The 16,238-nt window shown below is 47.2% G+C and overlaps 1 protein-coding gene across 14 annotated transcripts in view, besides 1 other annotated feature; it reads left to right on the top strand.

Moving 5' to 3' along the window:
• The first annotated feature begins 1,762 nt into the window (after nt 1–1,762).
• Nucleotides 1,763–16,238, top strand: part of MMP28 (matrix metallopeptidase 28) — a 39,393-nt gene continuing 24,917 nt past the window's right edge. For 10 of the 14 annotated variants that reach the window (NR_111988.2, XM_017025064.2, XM_011525231.2 and 7 more), the window contains exon 1: nt 1,763–2,137. Coding sequence is in view for 9 of the 14 variants with exons in the window: in XM_017025064.2 (XP_016880553.1) it covers nt 2,027–2,137 (111 nt within the window). In the remaining 5 variants the exon portion in view is untranslated. The other 4 variants (XM_011525226.3, XM_011525227.2, XM_047436731.1 and 1 more) reach the window with 4 other exon arrangements.
• Nucleotides 1,899–2,437: an enhancer, noted in NCBI's record as "H3K4me1 hESC enhancer chr17:34121971-34122509 (GRCh37/hg19 assembly coordinates)". NCBI's record gives its function as "activates a minimal SCP1, AML or CMV promoter by ChIP-STARR-seq in naive H9 embryonic stem cells {active_cell/tissue: H9 hESC(naive)}" and the evidence as "EXISTENCE:reporter gene assay evidence [ECO:0000049][PMID:30033119]".

Genomic DNA, 16,238 nt, shown 5'->3' with positions numbered 1-16,238 from the left:
CTTGGGGAGGGAGCTTCTGAAGGAGAGTGAGATAGTATTACTAGATTTAGCAAATAAAAATACAGGACTCCAGTTAAACTTGAATTTCAGATTAATGAATATTTTAAAAAGTAACTGGGTGCTATGCAATATTTGGGACACTTATACTAAAAAATTATTCATCATTAATCTGAAATTCAGGATTAATTGGGTATCCTCTGTTTCATCTGGCAACCTTAGAAAGAGAGAAAGCAAGAGAGAGAGAGAGAGTGTGTGTGTGTGTGTGTGTGTGTGTGTGTGTTTGTAGTTACAGGTATGGCATGATATATGGTGGCTTTTACCAGTAGATGGATTTTGACAGGCCGGATAGCCCTGCTTTGGGCAGGGAGCTCTGATGATCATCAGTTGGTAAGGACACTGTGGAACAAGCTGGAGTCAGACCTAGGTTTGCCAATTCTTTCTCCAGGCAGAATCTTTCCATCCCTTCTTCTATAAAACATTAAAAAATTAGCTGGGTACAGTGACACATGCCTGCAATCCCAGCTACTCAGGAGGCTGAGATGGGAGGATTGCTTGAGCCTTGAAAGTCAAGGCTACGGTGAGCTGTGATTGTGCTACTGCACTCCAGCTTGGGCGACAGAGCAAGACCCTGTCTTAAAAATACATATGTACATATATACACACATAAAATGTCTATTAAAAGGGCTTTTTCCAATTCCTCCACACAAGTGGTGTATTTTTCTAAATAGTACAAAAACGTTGTGTGATACCGAGGCCCTGAGCCTTAGGGTTGGAACACAGCATTATTTTTGTTCAGCACTTTAGGGATTCTAGATTATTTTTACACACATTAACTCATCTAATCCCACAATGACCCCCAGAGCTCAGTATCATTTTCCATTTGCATTTTACAATGTAGTGAATTGGGTAGAAGTGAGACAGCAACCAGCTCTCAGTTACACAGACAGATAATGAAAATAGTTTACTTTTTGCTCAATATGAGTTTAGCAAAGGCTTTCACGTAAACCGTTTCACTCCAACCTTATGGGGTATATAAAATCAGGCACTTTACACTCATTTTCTCTTTTCATCCTCATGCAACGCTGGGCACTAAATATCGTATGCTGTCATTTTATTGATGAGGAAACTGACGCTCGAAGTAGTTAAATCCTTTGCCAAAGATCACACAGCTGCAGCCTGCCCCTTATTAAGTGCACACTTCGTGATGCCATGCACCCTGTTCAGTAATTTACAGGCGTTATTATCTCCCCAACAGTCACAGAATATCGGTATTCTTATTATCCCATTTACTGATGAGAAAAGTGGGTTCAGAGAGGGTGAGTGACTGGTCCAAGACCACACAGCCAGCAGGTGGCTGAGGCAGGACTCAAAGGGCTAGCAAAGGAGCAAGTCTGGAACTCAAACCCAGTTCTGACTCCAGCTCTGTGCTGCTTCTCTCGCACCCCGACCCTGGGTGGGGGCCTCGCTCCCCACCCAGCTGAAACAATCAACGACCCTCTGGTAGACCAGGACCTCTCTTCATCGAAGTCTTAGGTAGCCACGCTTGCCAGGAGAAGGCCTTTCTTCCTTCACCCTCCCTGGACAGATCCGGGTCAACTGGAGGTGGCGGGCGAGAGGACCGATCCGCAGGGCGGTGGCGGGCGCAGGGCGAGGCTGTGCAGCGAACGGAAGAGGCTCCGGGACCGCCTCGCGTTCCAGCAGCGGCGCGGGGTGGGTGGGGCGGGAGTGCCGGGCCTCCGCCCCCTCCGCCTGCCTTTCCTTCCTCCCTCCCTCGGTCCCCGGGGCCGGCGGACCCGCGGGCAGGCACTGCCCGGGCTGGACGACGTCTGGCCGGCTCCCGGCGAAGGGCAGCGGAGGAGCGGCCCAGAGCGCGCAGCTAGGGCACTGGCGAAACCCCGGGACAGTCCCTCTCCGTGCGGGGGCGGCGCAGAGCAGTCCCATCCCCGGGGTCCCGGGCGCGGCTGACTGCCGGCTGGTTCCCTGCGCGCAGTAGCTCCCCGAGCCGGGCTGCACCGGAGGCGGCGAGATGGTCGCGCGCGTCGGCCTCCTGCTGCGCGCCCTGCAGCTGCTACTGTGGGGCCACCTGGACGCCCAGCCCGCGGAGCGCGGAGGCCAGGAGCTGCGCAAGGAGGCGGAGGTACGCCGTGTGTACCTGGCGGAGAGCGGTGCGTGTGCTTGAGACCTGTCAGAACTCGGCAGTCAGGCCACCCGGCAGTCCCCTGTGAGCAGACAATCTGCGTTACCCTACCCCTGTCCTCCGCCCCCTTCGCACTTGAACATAAAGAGCCGGGCAGTTTTTTCCCCGTGCCAGGCTGGAACCACACAGGCACGCGGATCCGCACTGATGGGCTGGGGTGGGTGCAGAGACGAGACCGGACAGACGGGCAAGAGCCCAGAGGGGACATCCTACCCTAGTTTGGCACGGGGCCACTCTCCCTCACCACCTAGGCTGGGGAGAATGAGGTTCATTCGTCGGATGCCCCCGAACCGTGTGGAAGCCTCAGTTTGGTGCTGTGGAGAGGGTACCGCTGGCTGGCCGGGACGCGGGACACAGCGCTGGCTTCCTGGCCGGGGACCGCCGCTGACCTGCTTGGGCAAGCCATTTAAACTGCTCAGAACTAGTTTTTCTGTCTGTAAAATGGGCAAGAGTAGTATACTCTCAAGAGTTGCTTCTAAGGAGCTTTAAACGGGGCTTCAGGACTGAACTTAAGGGGGCAGGAAGGTGAACCTTAGAGAGCTCCCTTTCCATTTTCTTGCTTTGGACTCAACTTGCTTGTTGTAGGTTGCGCAAGGGGAATTTTTTTGTGAGGTAGGGGTGGGGATCAATATAAGGCATCTATTTTCTAGATAAAAGTGTAGGCCGGACGCGGTGGCTCACGCCTGTAATCCCAGCACTTTGGGAGGCTGAGGCGGGCGGATAACCTTAGGTCAGGAGTTCGAGACCAGCCTGCCTAAAATGGTGAAACCCCGTCTTTATTAAAAATACAAAAATTAGCCAGACGTAGTGGCAGGCGCCTGTAATCCCAGCTACTCGGGAGGCTGAGATAGGAGAATCACTTGAACCCGGGAGGCAGAGGTTGCAGTGAGCCGAGATCCTGCCATTGCACTGCAACCTGGGCGACAGAGTGAGACTCTGTCTCAAAAAAAAAAAAAAAAAAGTGGTTGTAATAACACAACAGTATCTTTTCTTTCCTCCCCCAAAGAAGCATGTCTGCTTGTGTTCTTACTTCTTCTCAAGAATACGGCCAGGGTCTCCACTATTTTAAGGAGAAGGGATATGAACAGGTTTTGTTTTGTTTTTGTTTTGAGACAGAGTCTCGCTCTGTTGCCCGGGATGGAGTGCAATGGCTAGATCTCGGCTCACTGCAGCCTCTACCTCCCGGGTTCAAGCGATTCTCCTGCCTCAGCCTCCCAAGTAGCTGGGATTATAGGCATGCACGATCATGCCAGGCTAATTTTTGTATTTTTAGTAAAGACGGGGTTTCACCATATTGGCCAGGCTGGCCTCGAACTCCTGACCTTAAGTGATCCGCCTGCCTTGGCTTCCCAAAATGCTTGGATTACAGGCGTGAGCCACTGCATCCAGCTGGAATATGAACAGGTTCTGAATTACTGAGCCCAATGCTCTGCCCTGAGACTCTTGCTCCTCTAAGAGCTTCTTTCCTGCCCTCAAACTGCCCGTTGAGAGCTTCTCAGTATCCTCCCTACTCCCCTTCCCTCGAAGGGCAAGCTGAATTTGGGGAAACTGCAGAATGAAGAGGGCCCTCTCCGAATGCCTCATCCTTCCATCACCCAGCTCCCATCACTACTGGGGAATATTTGGAAATGACCCTGCTTCAACAAGGGATCATCTCTCATTGCCTTCCACCCCTCCCCTTCCTAGCACTGGGCTCTTGCTCTGTGCTCTCTGGTTTCTCTGCATATTCAGAGAAGCACTTTGTTTCTCTGAATTGAGACTCTTACAACATCAAGTACAGAGTCTTTGCAGCCCCAGGAGAAGGCTTCTGTCTGCCAAGCCAAGTCTTGTTAAGAGTCCCACCCCACCTCCCTGCAAGTGCGGGTCCCAGGCAATCCCTCGCAAGGGAACAGAGGCATATCTCTGCTGCCCATGCCTGTGGTGGCCCCAGATGGAGAGAATTTCATCTTGGGGTATGCTTGGGAAACTTAATATCCAGCAGATTGAGTTTCTTTCAGTCTATTTAACATAAATTTGGGGAAGGGGATTTTTAACTCTGAGAACAAGAAAATATTTTAAAAGCATAAAAACTCTGGAAATGTGTAATGGGTGTGTACGTGTCTCTATATGCCTATGCAAGCACACGTGTGTGTGTATATATACATATATTACATATATACACACACAACTGGGGATGTGTCTATGTCTATATGTGTTTTTGTATGTGGTTAATTGCATGAGCTTCAGTGCCAGACAAACCCATACGTAAACCATGGATAACTCATTTAACCTCTATAAACCTCAGTTTTCTTCTCCATACAATGGGGGTTAATAATGCCTATTTCACAAGATTGTTGTATGGTTTCATTGAAATAACATATGTACAATGCCTAACACAGCTCATAGGACATAGAAAGCAGTCTATAAAAGGAAGTTGCTCTCAGTGTTGTTATTACCTTTATCATTACTTTAGAGAACTGAGCTTCGGCTTAAAGTCTGGGTTTGAAGACTAGCTCCCCCACAACAATAATACAGGACAAAATATGTAAGGCAACTATTTTCAGCATTGGACAACAGACAGCACAGAGCTGCAATTCCTAAAGAGAGTATTTTAGTTACTATGACTACATTACAAATTACCCCCAAAACTTAGTGAAGTAAAACAACCATTTATTAAGTTCACAGATAACTGTGAGTCGAAATTTCAAATAGGGCACATCAGTGCAGCTTGTCTCCATTCTACAGTGTCTGGGGCTGGCATCATCTGAAGTGTGTTTAGATATTTGGCAGTCGATGCTGGCTGTTGGCTGGTGGCCTCAGTTATTTTTCACATGGACCTATCCACATGGTCTGTCCGTGTGGGCTAGTTTGGGCTTCCTTATAACATGGTGTCTGGGTCCTGGGGATGAGTGTTGGGAGCGGGGAGAAGAGAGAGGAACTATATCCTTTTTATGACCTACTATTGCTTCTACTGCACTCCATTGGCTAGAGCAGTCACAGCTGCCTCCCAGGTTCAAGGGGAGGGAACATAGACCCCACGATTGCTGAGAGGAGTGTTAAAGTCACATCGTGAGAAGAACGTGGGAATGGGAGATACTGTTGTGTCGTTTAGGGAACAACCATCCACAGAAGGAAAACCCAGAAAGTGAGCCCCACAGTTGCCCCAGTTCTTTGCTTGGAGACAATTCCTGACTGCAGTGCGGGGAACTAGACCTCAAGCAGAACACAGCAGTCCTGCTGTGCTGAGTGACAAAGCTCAGCGTTCAGGGCTGTTGAAGTAGCTGGAATCTGTGGAGGGGTGCGTCACAGAGGAGGGAGCTATACTGAAGGGGGTTCCCATAAGTCTGTATGGGGTTCACTGCAAGTCCTTCCCTGGGGACTGTGCTAGCACGTGTAGGGTGAGACTGTGTGATGCTTACCAGAGAACAGCTGCTATGTGATTGAGAACAGGAAAAAAGACTGGAGAAGTTGAGCAGTTCTGGAAGATATTGGCAGTCTGGGCCAGCCAAAATGGAAAAAACTCTTTAACACCCTGGGCATCTATGTAAAACACCAGCAATGCCATGCTTTAGGTGTAAGCACCATGAACTAGAGTAAGACCTACTCTAACAAAGCTTGGAAATGAGTAAACATAAAACACTTATTTCCCTTGTCATAATTTCTGTAAAAGACAACTGGCTGCTTAAAGCAAAATAATAACATCATAAATTGGACTTTATTTTTATTTTTTGAGACAGCCATGGCTCACTGCGGCCTCAATCTCCTGGGCTCAAGTGATCCTCCTGCTTCAGCCTCCTGAGTACCTGGAACTACAGACACGCACCACCATGCCCAACTAATTCTAAAATATTTTTGTAGAGATGAGGTCTCCCCATGTTGCCCAGGCTGGTCTCAAACCCCTGGACTTAAGCAATCCTCCTGCCTCGGCCTTCCAAAGTGCTGGGATTAAGGCTGGAATTCTACTATTCTACAATAGTAGAATTTTATTTGCCCACCCCTGCTTCCCTTGGCCAGGTGCTGTGCCACTGTCATAACTACTTCTTTTACATGTGTTTTAAAGTCCAACTTAATGGCCATGCCCCCTTATGGCCATAAGTTGGACTTTAAAACACATGTAAAAGTAGCAGTTATGACAATGGCACAAGGCAAGCGGGGGCAGGTAAATGGAATTCTACTATTGTAAGATTAGTACATTTGTGGCTGGGCACAGTGACTCATACCTGTAATCCCAGCACTTTGGGAGGCCGGGGCTGGAGGATTGCTTGAGCCGAGGAGTTTGAGAGCAGCCTGGGCAACATAGAGAGACCCTGTCTCTACACATTTAAAAAAAAAAAAAACATTAATACATTTGTGAATTGGAATGTCAGTGTGAAGTGGGAAATGGGATGTGTCAAGTGGGAAGTGAGAGATGGAGGTTTCACTATGTTGGCCAGGCTGGTTTCGAACTCCTGACCTCAAATGATCTGCCTGCCTTGGGCTCCCAAATTGCTGGGATTACAGACTTGAACCACCATACTCAGCCTCTACAGACTAATTTCTGTGTATATATATTTGGATATCCTGGACATTTCATATAAATGGGATCATATTATATGTGGCCTTTTGGAACTGGATAGTTGGAAACTTTAACACCACTCTCCCAATAATGAATAGAAAAAATAGACAAAAAAAATCAGTCAGGATGTAGCAGACTTGAACAATACTGTAAACCTTCTTGACCTAATTGATGTTGATAGAAAACTACACTTGAGAACTCCAGATACACATTCTTTTCAGGTGCATATCAATAATTTACCAACTGAGACCATAGGCTGGGCCATAAAATAAGTCTCAGTTCATTTAAAAAATTTAAATTTTGCAAAAGCCTGGGTGTGATGGCTCATGCCTGTAATCCCAGCACTTTGGGAGGCCAAGGCAGGAGGATCATTTGAGGTCAAGAGTTGGAGACCAGCCTGACCAACATGGTGAAACCTCATCTCTACTGAAAATAGTAAAAATTAGCCAGGTGTAGTGGCAAACGCCTGTAATCTCAGCTAGTCAGGAGGCTGAGGCAGAATTGCTTGAACCCAGGAGGCGGAGGTTGCAGTGAGCCGAGATCACGCAGTTGCACTTCAGCCTGGGCAACAGAGCGAGACTCTGTCTCAAAAAAAAAAAAAAAAAAAAAAAAGCCAGGTGCGGTGGCTCATGCTTGTAATCCCAGCACTTTGGGAGGCTGAGGCAGGTGGATCACCTGAGATCAGGAATTCGAGACTAGCCTGGCCAACATTGTGAAACCCCGTCTCTACTAAAAATACAAAAATTAGCCAGGCATGGTGGTGTGTGCCTGTAATTCCAGCTACTCAGGAGGCAGAGACAGGAGAATTGCTTGAAACCAGGAGGCGGAGGTTGCAGTGAGCCGAGATCGCGCCACTGCACTCCAGCTTGAGCAGAGCGAGACTCCGTCTTAAAAAAAAAAAAAAAAATTAAATGTTGCAAATTATGTTTTCTTACCAAAACAGAACTAATTTTAAAATCAGTAACAATAAGACATCTAGCAGAGCCCCAGATATTTGGAAATTAAACAACACACTCCTAAATTACCCATGAGTTGATTCAGAAATCATCAGAGCAATGAAACTAAATAATAATGAAAATACAACATTTCATATCAATATTTGTGGGATGCAGCTAAAGTAGTGCTTTAAATGAAATTCACAGCTTTAAATTCCTATAGTAAGAAAGAAGAAAAGTTTTAGGTCAATGATTTAAGCTTCCACTTTAAGAATCTGAAGAAAGAACAAATTAAACCAAAACGGCACAGGAAAGAAAGAAATAATAAAAAACAACTGTGTGATCATAGAGTTCCTTCACTTGGCTGCGGTTTCCTCTCCTGTAAAATAAGAGGGCTAAATTTCTTAAATGACTTCTAAGATTCTCTCTAGCTCTAACACTGTTTGGCTTTGGTGTGCTTGTATGCTTGTGCCTCTATATATGTGTGTGCCTGTGTGTGTATATACATCATCTTCCTCTGTGTCCATGTCTGTCTGTCTGGATGTGCCTGTGTTCTCAAGTCTCTGTGTGTATTCCTGTACCCTGTGTACATGGCTCTGTGTCCCCTCTGTGCACACAATGTAACAAAGTTGAGGCCTTTCCAGAGTGGGCTTTGCCAGGGAGGAGATTAAGTGCTTACAAAGCTGTGTTGTGAACAAACAAGTTCATTGTTGCAACTTAGGAACAAGTTCAGTGGGCAACTTAGGAAAACTAGAGCTGCTCACAGCACTAGTAAGTAGGAAGAGCATGCTCTGCTGAGTTGCAAGATTGAGAATTAACAGATGACATCATCACCCTGTCCCCCACTCCCATTCCAAGCCAGACACTGTCCTGTGCTTGGGTAACACAGATTCCCAAGGGCTCTATCTATCATTTGCTTTGCTTGGACCTTCTTTAGAACAGCCAGGCAGGAGTTTCAGGACCTGCCTTCCACTGGGTGGTCTAGCTATATCTGTATAGCTACTCCCAGTGTGCCAGTACCAGGAGCTGGATAGTTTGTTTCTCCAGGGAGACACTGGAGCTTCTGTGGAGTATCCACCCCCAGATGCAGTGTCTGTTTCTCATACCCCAGAGCCATTCGTTTGACTTTTTGTGAGTCAGAAACCCAGAAGCCTGGGTGTGGAAGCCGTTCCCAAGAACTTAGCTCAGTGACTCATGGGTATAGGGTGAATAGAAGTGCAGAAGAGGCTCTGAAGGGTCCTAGAGGACCACAGTTGGTGGAAAAGCACTTGTCTAGCCAATTACCAGGATTTGGGTAGTGGAAGCATGACCCTAATAGCAGGGAGACATGGTTGGACAATATCTCCCTAAACCCACCCTTGATCAAGGCATTATTTTGTGCCCTAAACTTAGTCCCACAAGTCTAGTGAGAACCATGAGTCCATACGGTATAGTTATTTGGCATTAGAGAAAGAGTACAAGATGTGGTCTGGATAAAGACTAACTGGCTAGTGTTTTCCATCTTCCTTAAGGGCAGAAAATGAAAGGAGGGCTGGCCACAATGGCTCATGATGGCTGTAATCCCAGCACTTTGGGAGGCCAAGGTAGAAGGATCATTTGAGGCCAGGAGTTTGAGACCAGTCTGGGCAACATAGAGAGACCCCCATCTCTACAAAAATTAAAAAATTAGCCAGGCACGATGGCACATGCCTGTAGTCCGAGCTACTCAGGAGGCTGAGGTACAAGGATCACTTGAGCCCAGGAAGTCAAGGTTTGTAGTGAGCTGTGATCATGCCACTGCATTTCAGCCAGGGCGACGAGCAAGACCGTATCTCAAAAAAAAAAAAAAAAAAAAAAAAGGGAAAGAAAAAAAGAGTGAGAGAGAGAGAAAGAAGGAGCAGGGATTATAGCAAGAGGTATCTAGGTTACACCTAGACAGAACTTTGTGACTATAAGACTAAGGACAAAGGGGCTGGGTGCAGTGGCTCACACCTGTAATCCCAGCACTTTGGGAGGCCAAGTTAGGTGGATCACTTGAGGTCAGGAGTTTGAGACCAGCCTGGCCAGCATGGCAAAGCCCCATCTTTACTAAAAATACGAAATTAGCCGGGCATGGTGTGTACGCCTGTAATCCCAGATAGTCGGGAGACTGAGGCAGGAGAATCGCTTGTGCCCAGGAGGCGGAGATTGCAGTGAGCTGAAGTCATGCCACTGCACTCCAGCCTGGGCAACAGAACAAGACTCTGACTAAAAACAAACAAACAAACAAACAAACAAAAAACTGAAGGACAAAAGAAAGAAGGAGAAAAAGAAAGGGAGTCAGGCAGAGGGAAGGGGAAGCCTTTACCCAAAATAAAGGAAAGGAGCTGAGTTAACCCCACTGCCCTGAAGTCTTCACTAGCTCCCAGGAGCCAGAGGGTGAAAGCAGAGCATTCTGGTAGCAGATGTTTATCTTTACGCAGGAACATGCTTCAGTCCTGTCGAATGCCTCTGGCCTGTTAGACGACCTGTTCTGGCTGTGATGGAAAACAGGATCCCAGCCCCTATTTGAAAGCCAGAGCCCACTGCCTGAGCAACTTCTTTCCTCTGCTCTAACCCTGAACTTTCTTGTAAAGCAGATAAGAGAAATCCAGCCAGAAACACCCCAGTTTGACCTTTTTCTTAATTGAGAGTCAGCTCCCCAGTAGAGAGAGCAGCTTGGCCCTTGCCCCTTTAGTTTTAAAGCCTCTGAGTCACTTGTTTAAATGTAAAATAAAACATCCTAGGGTAGATGTCAGAGGATCAGATTAGAGTACTGGTTCTGTCACACACTAGATCACTTTGGTAAGACACTACACTCCCCTGAGACTTAATTTCCTCATCTTTAAAATGGGAATAGCAACACCTGTCCTGTCTATATTCTTGCAAGATCATTGTGAGATTCAAAGAAGGTGTGATATCTTTAAAAAGCTCTACAGTTGCCTGGGCTTATTGTGCTCCTGACTACCAGAAAATATTTTCATATGTAGAACACATCAAGGCAGAATACCAGCTATCATTCATCTTTTTTTTTTTTTTTTGTAGAGACAGGATCTCACTATGAGGCTGGTCTCGAAATCCTGGCCTCAAGAAATCTTCCTGCCCCAGCCTTCCAAAGTGCTAGGATTGCAGACGTGAGCCACTATGCCTTGCCATCCTTTGCATCTTGACTTGGCTAATAATGCCAAAGATACACTTGAATGATAAGCACAATCTCAAATAGTCACTATGGGAACTAAAATAATAATAAAATGTAACATGAGATGGAGTATATCATAGGTAAAGTGACAGTTTCTGCATGCATTTGGCAATTTTTAAATTCTTAATTTCATTTCTGCTGCTGAAATTCTGTGATATGGAGGATGTCTAAGAAGGTGAGTCCTGGCTGGGCATGGTGGCTCACGCCTGTAATCTCAGCACTTTGGGAGGCCAAGGTGGGCAGATCACCTGAGGTCAGGAGTTTGAGACCAGCCTGGCTAACATGGTGAAACCCCGTTTCTACTAAAAATACAAAAAATTACCCAGGCGTAGTGGCGCACGCCTGTAATCCCAGCTACTCGAGAGGCTGAGGCAAGAGAATCACTTGAACCCAGGAGGCAGAGGTTGCAGTGAGCTGAGATCGTGCCATTGCACTCCAGCTTGGGCAACAAGAAGCGAAACTCCGTGTCAAAAAAAAAAAAAAAACAAGAAGGTGAGTACTACACGCTCACCTACCAAATGTCCCTTCCAGCAATAAAGCTCCATGAACATAGAGGTAAAAATAACATTGTTAATGGGGCAACTGTCATAAAGCTTTCCCAGACCATCTTCTTAGATGTTGATGATGCTCCTGCGAGAAAGGTAAAACAGTATTCTTTCTCCCATTTTATACATTGGGGCACAGAAAGGTTAAGTAACTTTGTCTTAGCTTACACAGCTAGTCAGTTGCAGAAGCAGGGATAGAATAACGGATAGAGCTGGAATATATATTAGAGCTCTAATAATCTAATCTCCTGGCTGGGCGCGGTGGCTCAAGCCTGTAATCCCAGCACTTTGGGAGGCCGAGGTGGGCGGATCACGAGGTCAAGAGATCGAGACCATGCTGCCTGAAACGGTGAAACCCCATCTCTACTAAAAATGCAAAAAATTAGCCGGGCATGGTGGTGGGCGCCTGTAGTCCCAGCTACTCGGGAGGTTGAGGCAGGAGAATGGTGTGAACTCGGGAGGCGGAGCTTGTAGTGAACTGAGATCTCGCCACTGCACTCCAGCCTGGGTGACAGAGTGAGACTCTGTCTCAATAATAATAATAATCCAACCTCCTAATTTTATAGAAGAGGAAACTGAAGCTCAGAGAGGCACAGGACTTACCTAAGGACATACAAGTTAGCCATAGTACCAGGAATAAAACTCAAGACTCTCAGTCCAGTGCCCTTGCCCTGCCAGTTCAATGATGCAGACTTCCTGACTCAGGCCTTGGGTTCATTTTGCTGCACCTCATCACTGGTCCTGCCCTGCGCAGAAATGGCCAAAATTTCCCTTCCCTCAGGCACTAAATAGGCTAGGCTATATGCACCCTCCCAGGACAAGTCAGGACTGATGCAGGCCTAGAATCCCTAGCACTGTGTGATTCCACCAAGCTGGCTGGGTCCCAGGAGAACTAGTTCCATTTTACCCAGACTCCACAGCCACTCCCAGGGACTTTCAGAAGTGACTCCCCAGGAAAGTGGTCCCAGCCCTAACCAAGGGGGTAAGGCATGTTGGCACAAGCTTTTAGGCCAGAGTAGGGTGAGTCACCTAAGGGGCACAGCCTTCCAGCTTCCTCTCCATTCAGCTCAAGCCTTGGGCTCCCTAAGAGAGAGGACGGGTGGAAAATAGAGAAGAGAGAAAACCTGGTCCTTGAACTTCAAGGCCAGGAGGAGTGGTCTAGACTCTGCCTCCTTGAAGTGGGGCAGGAATGGTGCCAGGTAGAACTCAGAGAGTCCTTAAGAGAACCATTGAACAAGCCCCCAGGACAATGGAAGCCTAGAAGGAAAATGGCCCCCAAGAGGGTTTGTGGTCAAGCTGGGGTAAGAACTGGAGCTCCACCTCCCAGTTTTGTGTCTTCTCCTGGGATCCCTTTGTCATGCTGCCACTCCTCCACCCTGACCCCACACCCCTGCTCCTTCTACTGTGCAGAGTAGACCATTTCTCTTACCTTTGCAGGAGGAAACTGAGGCATGAAAAATGCCTCACAGAAGAGGGTTAGGGACACCTCCAGGAGCAGAGGGAGTTTCAACCCCACCACCTCCTCACCCGGGAAGTTGGATCTGCCTCCACTCCACAGAATGTGAGAGCACCCAGCCCTGACAGCATTAAGGAGCCCCTTCCTGTATGTGTTTTAAATTTTTTTGAATATACACATGTTAAGCATAAAAGTATAAGGGAGCCCATAAATCCTGATAATCCCTGTTATAATACTTCAGTGCTTTTTTTTTTTTTGGAAATGGAGTCTTGCTCTTGTTGCCCAGGCTGGAGTGCAGTGTTGTGATCTGGGCTCACTGCAACCTCCACCTCCCGGGTTCCAGCGATTCTCCTGCCTCAGCCTCCCGAGTAGCTGAGATTACAGGCACTGGCCACCATGCCTAGCTAATTTTTTGTGTTTTTAGTAGAGACGGGGTTTCACCGTGTTAGCCAGGCTGGCCTTGAACTCCTGCCCTCAAGTGATCCACCTGCCTCGGCCTCCCAAAGTGCTGGTATTACAGGCATGACTACGCACAGCCACTTCAGTGCTTTTATAGAAATACAAAATGTCAAATTCTTAAAATTTCTTTTTCTCATTCTTTCAGTGGCTCTGCTTGGCTCGTGTCCCGGGCACATGCTCATTCTGCTTACTGAGATTTTAACTCTGCCTTGCTACCTACAGGGTCCCAGAGGCGAGTTAGGAAGAAAGGCCCAGGACTTCCCCTCTGAGGGACCCCTGAAAAAGGCCCTCACCCCCAACCCCCATCCTGCCCTCCACCCCGTCTTGCCTGCCAGAGTACTAGGCACAGCAGCCCAGCCAGGAAACAAGAGACGCTGCCAGTTAATTTCCCCTCCCTCCCACTCTGTCCAAGGCTTCAGAGTTCCAGAACCGGAGCCAACTCCCTGATAAGGGCTGGGTGTGTTTGTGGAGAGAGGCACAAGGGAGTGCCAGCCATGCCGACCTGTGACCTGGTCTCTCCCAAGTCACTCACCTAGCAAAACTGCCTCTAAGGAGACATTAATTCCCTGGCTACCTTTAGAAAGTCCTCTGTCCATCCTCCCCAAAGGAAAGGGAGGGGACAAGGAAGAGAACCAGGCATCCAGCTGAGGTCAGGCAAGTCTGAGACAGAAGCACCTGAATTGAGAACAGAGGTGTAACTGCCATGTTCAAAGCAGTTCCCTTTTTACAGATGGATTGCATTCCAAAAGTCTGTTGTTAACGTTCCCTCTAAGGTAAATCAACCAGATCAATTGTTTATTGAGTATTTACTTTGTACCAGGCACTATGCTAAATGTGCATTCTTTTATTTAGTCCTTCTGAGAACGCTGAATAAGATCAAGAATAAATTGAACTTATTCTCACTTTGTGGATAAAGAAAGAGGGGCTTAGAGAGATTAAATAATTTGTCCCCAGCTGGCTGGATGTGGTGGCTCACGCCTGTAGTCCCAGCACTTTGGGAGGCTGAGGCGGGGGGATCACAAGGTCAGGAGATCAAGACCATCCTGGGTAACACGGTGAAACCCTGTCTCTACTAAAAATACAAAAAATTAGCCGGGCATCGTGGCAGGTGCCTGTAGTCCCAGCTACTCGGGAGGCTGAGGCAGGAGAATGGCGTGAACCCTGGAGGCAGAGCTTGCAGTGAGCTGAGATGGCGCCACTGCACTCCAGCCTGGGTGACAGAGCGAGACTCCGTCTCAAAAAATAAAAATTAAAAAAAAAAATAATTTGTCCCCAGCCATCTGGCAGAGTCAGGGTTGGGAATAGATTTTCATTCCCAAACCTGGTGGCTATACCGTGATGCCACACGATTTTGAGCAGGAAATAGCTTCCCAAATTAAGCCACCAGAACACTTTCAATCCATTATGCATCCAAAAATAGTGTACATTTGCAAAGGGAAAAAAGGAAACAATAGTTCTGAAATACTAATGAATTAATGCAGAAAAACAATGAAATGGACTAGGAAAGTTACGTAGAATGAGGAGTCTATGAAAAGTTACTTTATTGAGAAGAGGATGTGGAGGTTGCTGAAAATGAATGTGAATTAAATCCACAAGGGGAAGCTGGATACTTGCAAAGATTTAGGGGTTTGCTGGTCTTAGTATCTAGCTTCATTCCCAACTTGTGCATTTTCCTTGAGACAGCAGCTATGATTGGAATTATTTTGAGTTAAGAAATACAGCATGGTGGCTGGGCGCGGTGGCTCACGCCTGTAATCCCAGCACTTTGGTAGGCTGAGGCGGGCGGATCATGAGGTCAGGAGATTGAGACCATCCTGGCTAACATGGTGAAACCCCGTCTGTACTAAAAATACAAAAACAAAATTAGCTGGGTGTGGTGGTGGGCACCTGTAGTCCCAGTTACTCGGGAGGCTGAGGCAGGAGAGTGGCATGAACCCAGGAGATGAAGCTTGCAGTGAGCCAAGATCACGCCACTGTACACCAGCCTGGGCGACAGAGCGAGACTCTGTCTCAAAAAAAAAAAAAAAAAAGAGAGAAATACAACATGGTAGGCAAGGTGGCATGCAGCACCTGTAGTCCTAGCTATTCAAGAGGCTATAGGAGGGTCACCTGAGTCCAGGAGTTTGAGGCTGTGGTGAGCAATGATCATGCCAGTGAATAGCCACTGCACTCCAGCCAGGGCAACATAGTGAGACCCCCATCTCTAAAACATAAAACATAAAAAAGGAAAAGAAAAGAAAAAAGAAATACAGCAAAGAAAATAGGGGTAAGAGAAGAAGACAGAAAATTATTTCTGTATAGGTAACACAACAAGGAGGGGTAAAAATTGAGGCTATGTAGGTAGAAGAATTCTCCTTGTAGAAGAATTATGCAGCTGAGGCAACATTCTTTTTTATCCAAGGTGACATTTATGTAACTTTATCAGTGAGAAGGGCAATCAGGGAGCCAAGTGCATCGTCTGCCCAAAGGGTAGAACTGGTGATAGGTGAGAATAATAGTCACACTTTTCTCTCCACTGGCCTCAAATAACTTGATTACTGAGAGAACAGCTTCCAGGTGTGTTAGGGTAGGCAGAGTCAAAGGTACCTGGACCCTGAGATGTTCTCAATTATACCAATTTCCCCAGAGGAGCTCGTCCTGGTCCACAGCTTTATATCACCTACATGCTGAAATATTCAGGCTGCTGCTTTGAGCTCTAGGATCATACAGCCAGTGCCACTTTGAAATCTCCAAGGTAATCTTAAACCCACGCACCCCCATCTGTACCTCCTGCAGGCTTCCTCATACATTAAATAGCATCACCTTCCAAGCCAAAAACTTAGGAGCATCCTGGATTTCTGTCTTTCATTCCCCACCAATTAATCCATCAGCAGGACTAAAACAAACCTACACTTCTTATCCTGGCTGACAGCCCTG

Source organism: Homo sapiens, chromosome 17 (assembly GCF_000001405.40).
Source record: "Homo sapiens chromosome 17, GRCh38.p14 Primary Assembly".
In the NCBI taxonomy this organism is placed as follows: Eukaryota; Metazoa; Chordata; class Mammalia; order Primates; family Hominidae; genus Homo; species Homo sapiens.
Note: the sequence above shows the minus strand (reverse complement) of the source record. Positions and strands in the feature narration are given on the sequence as shown.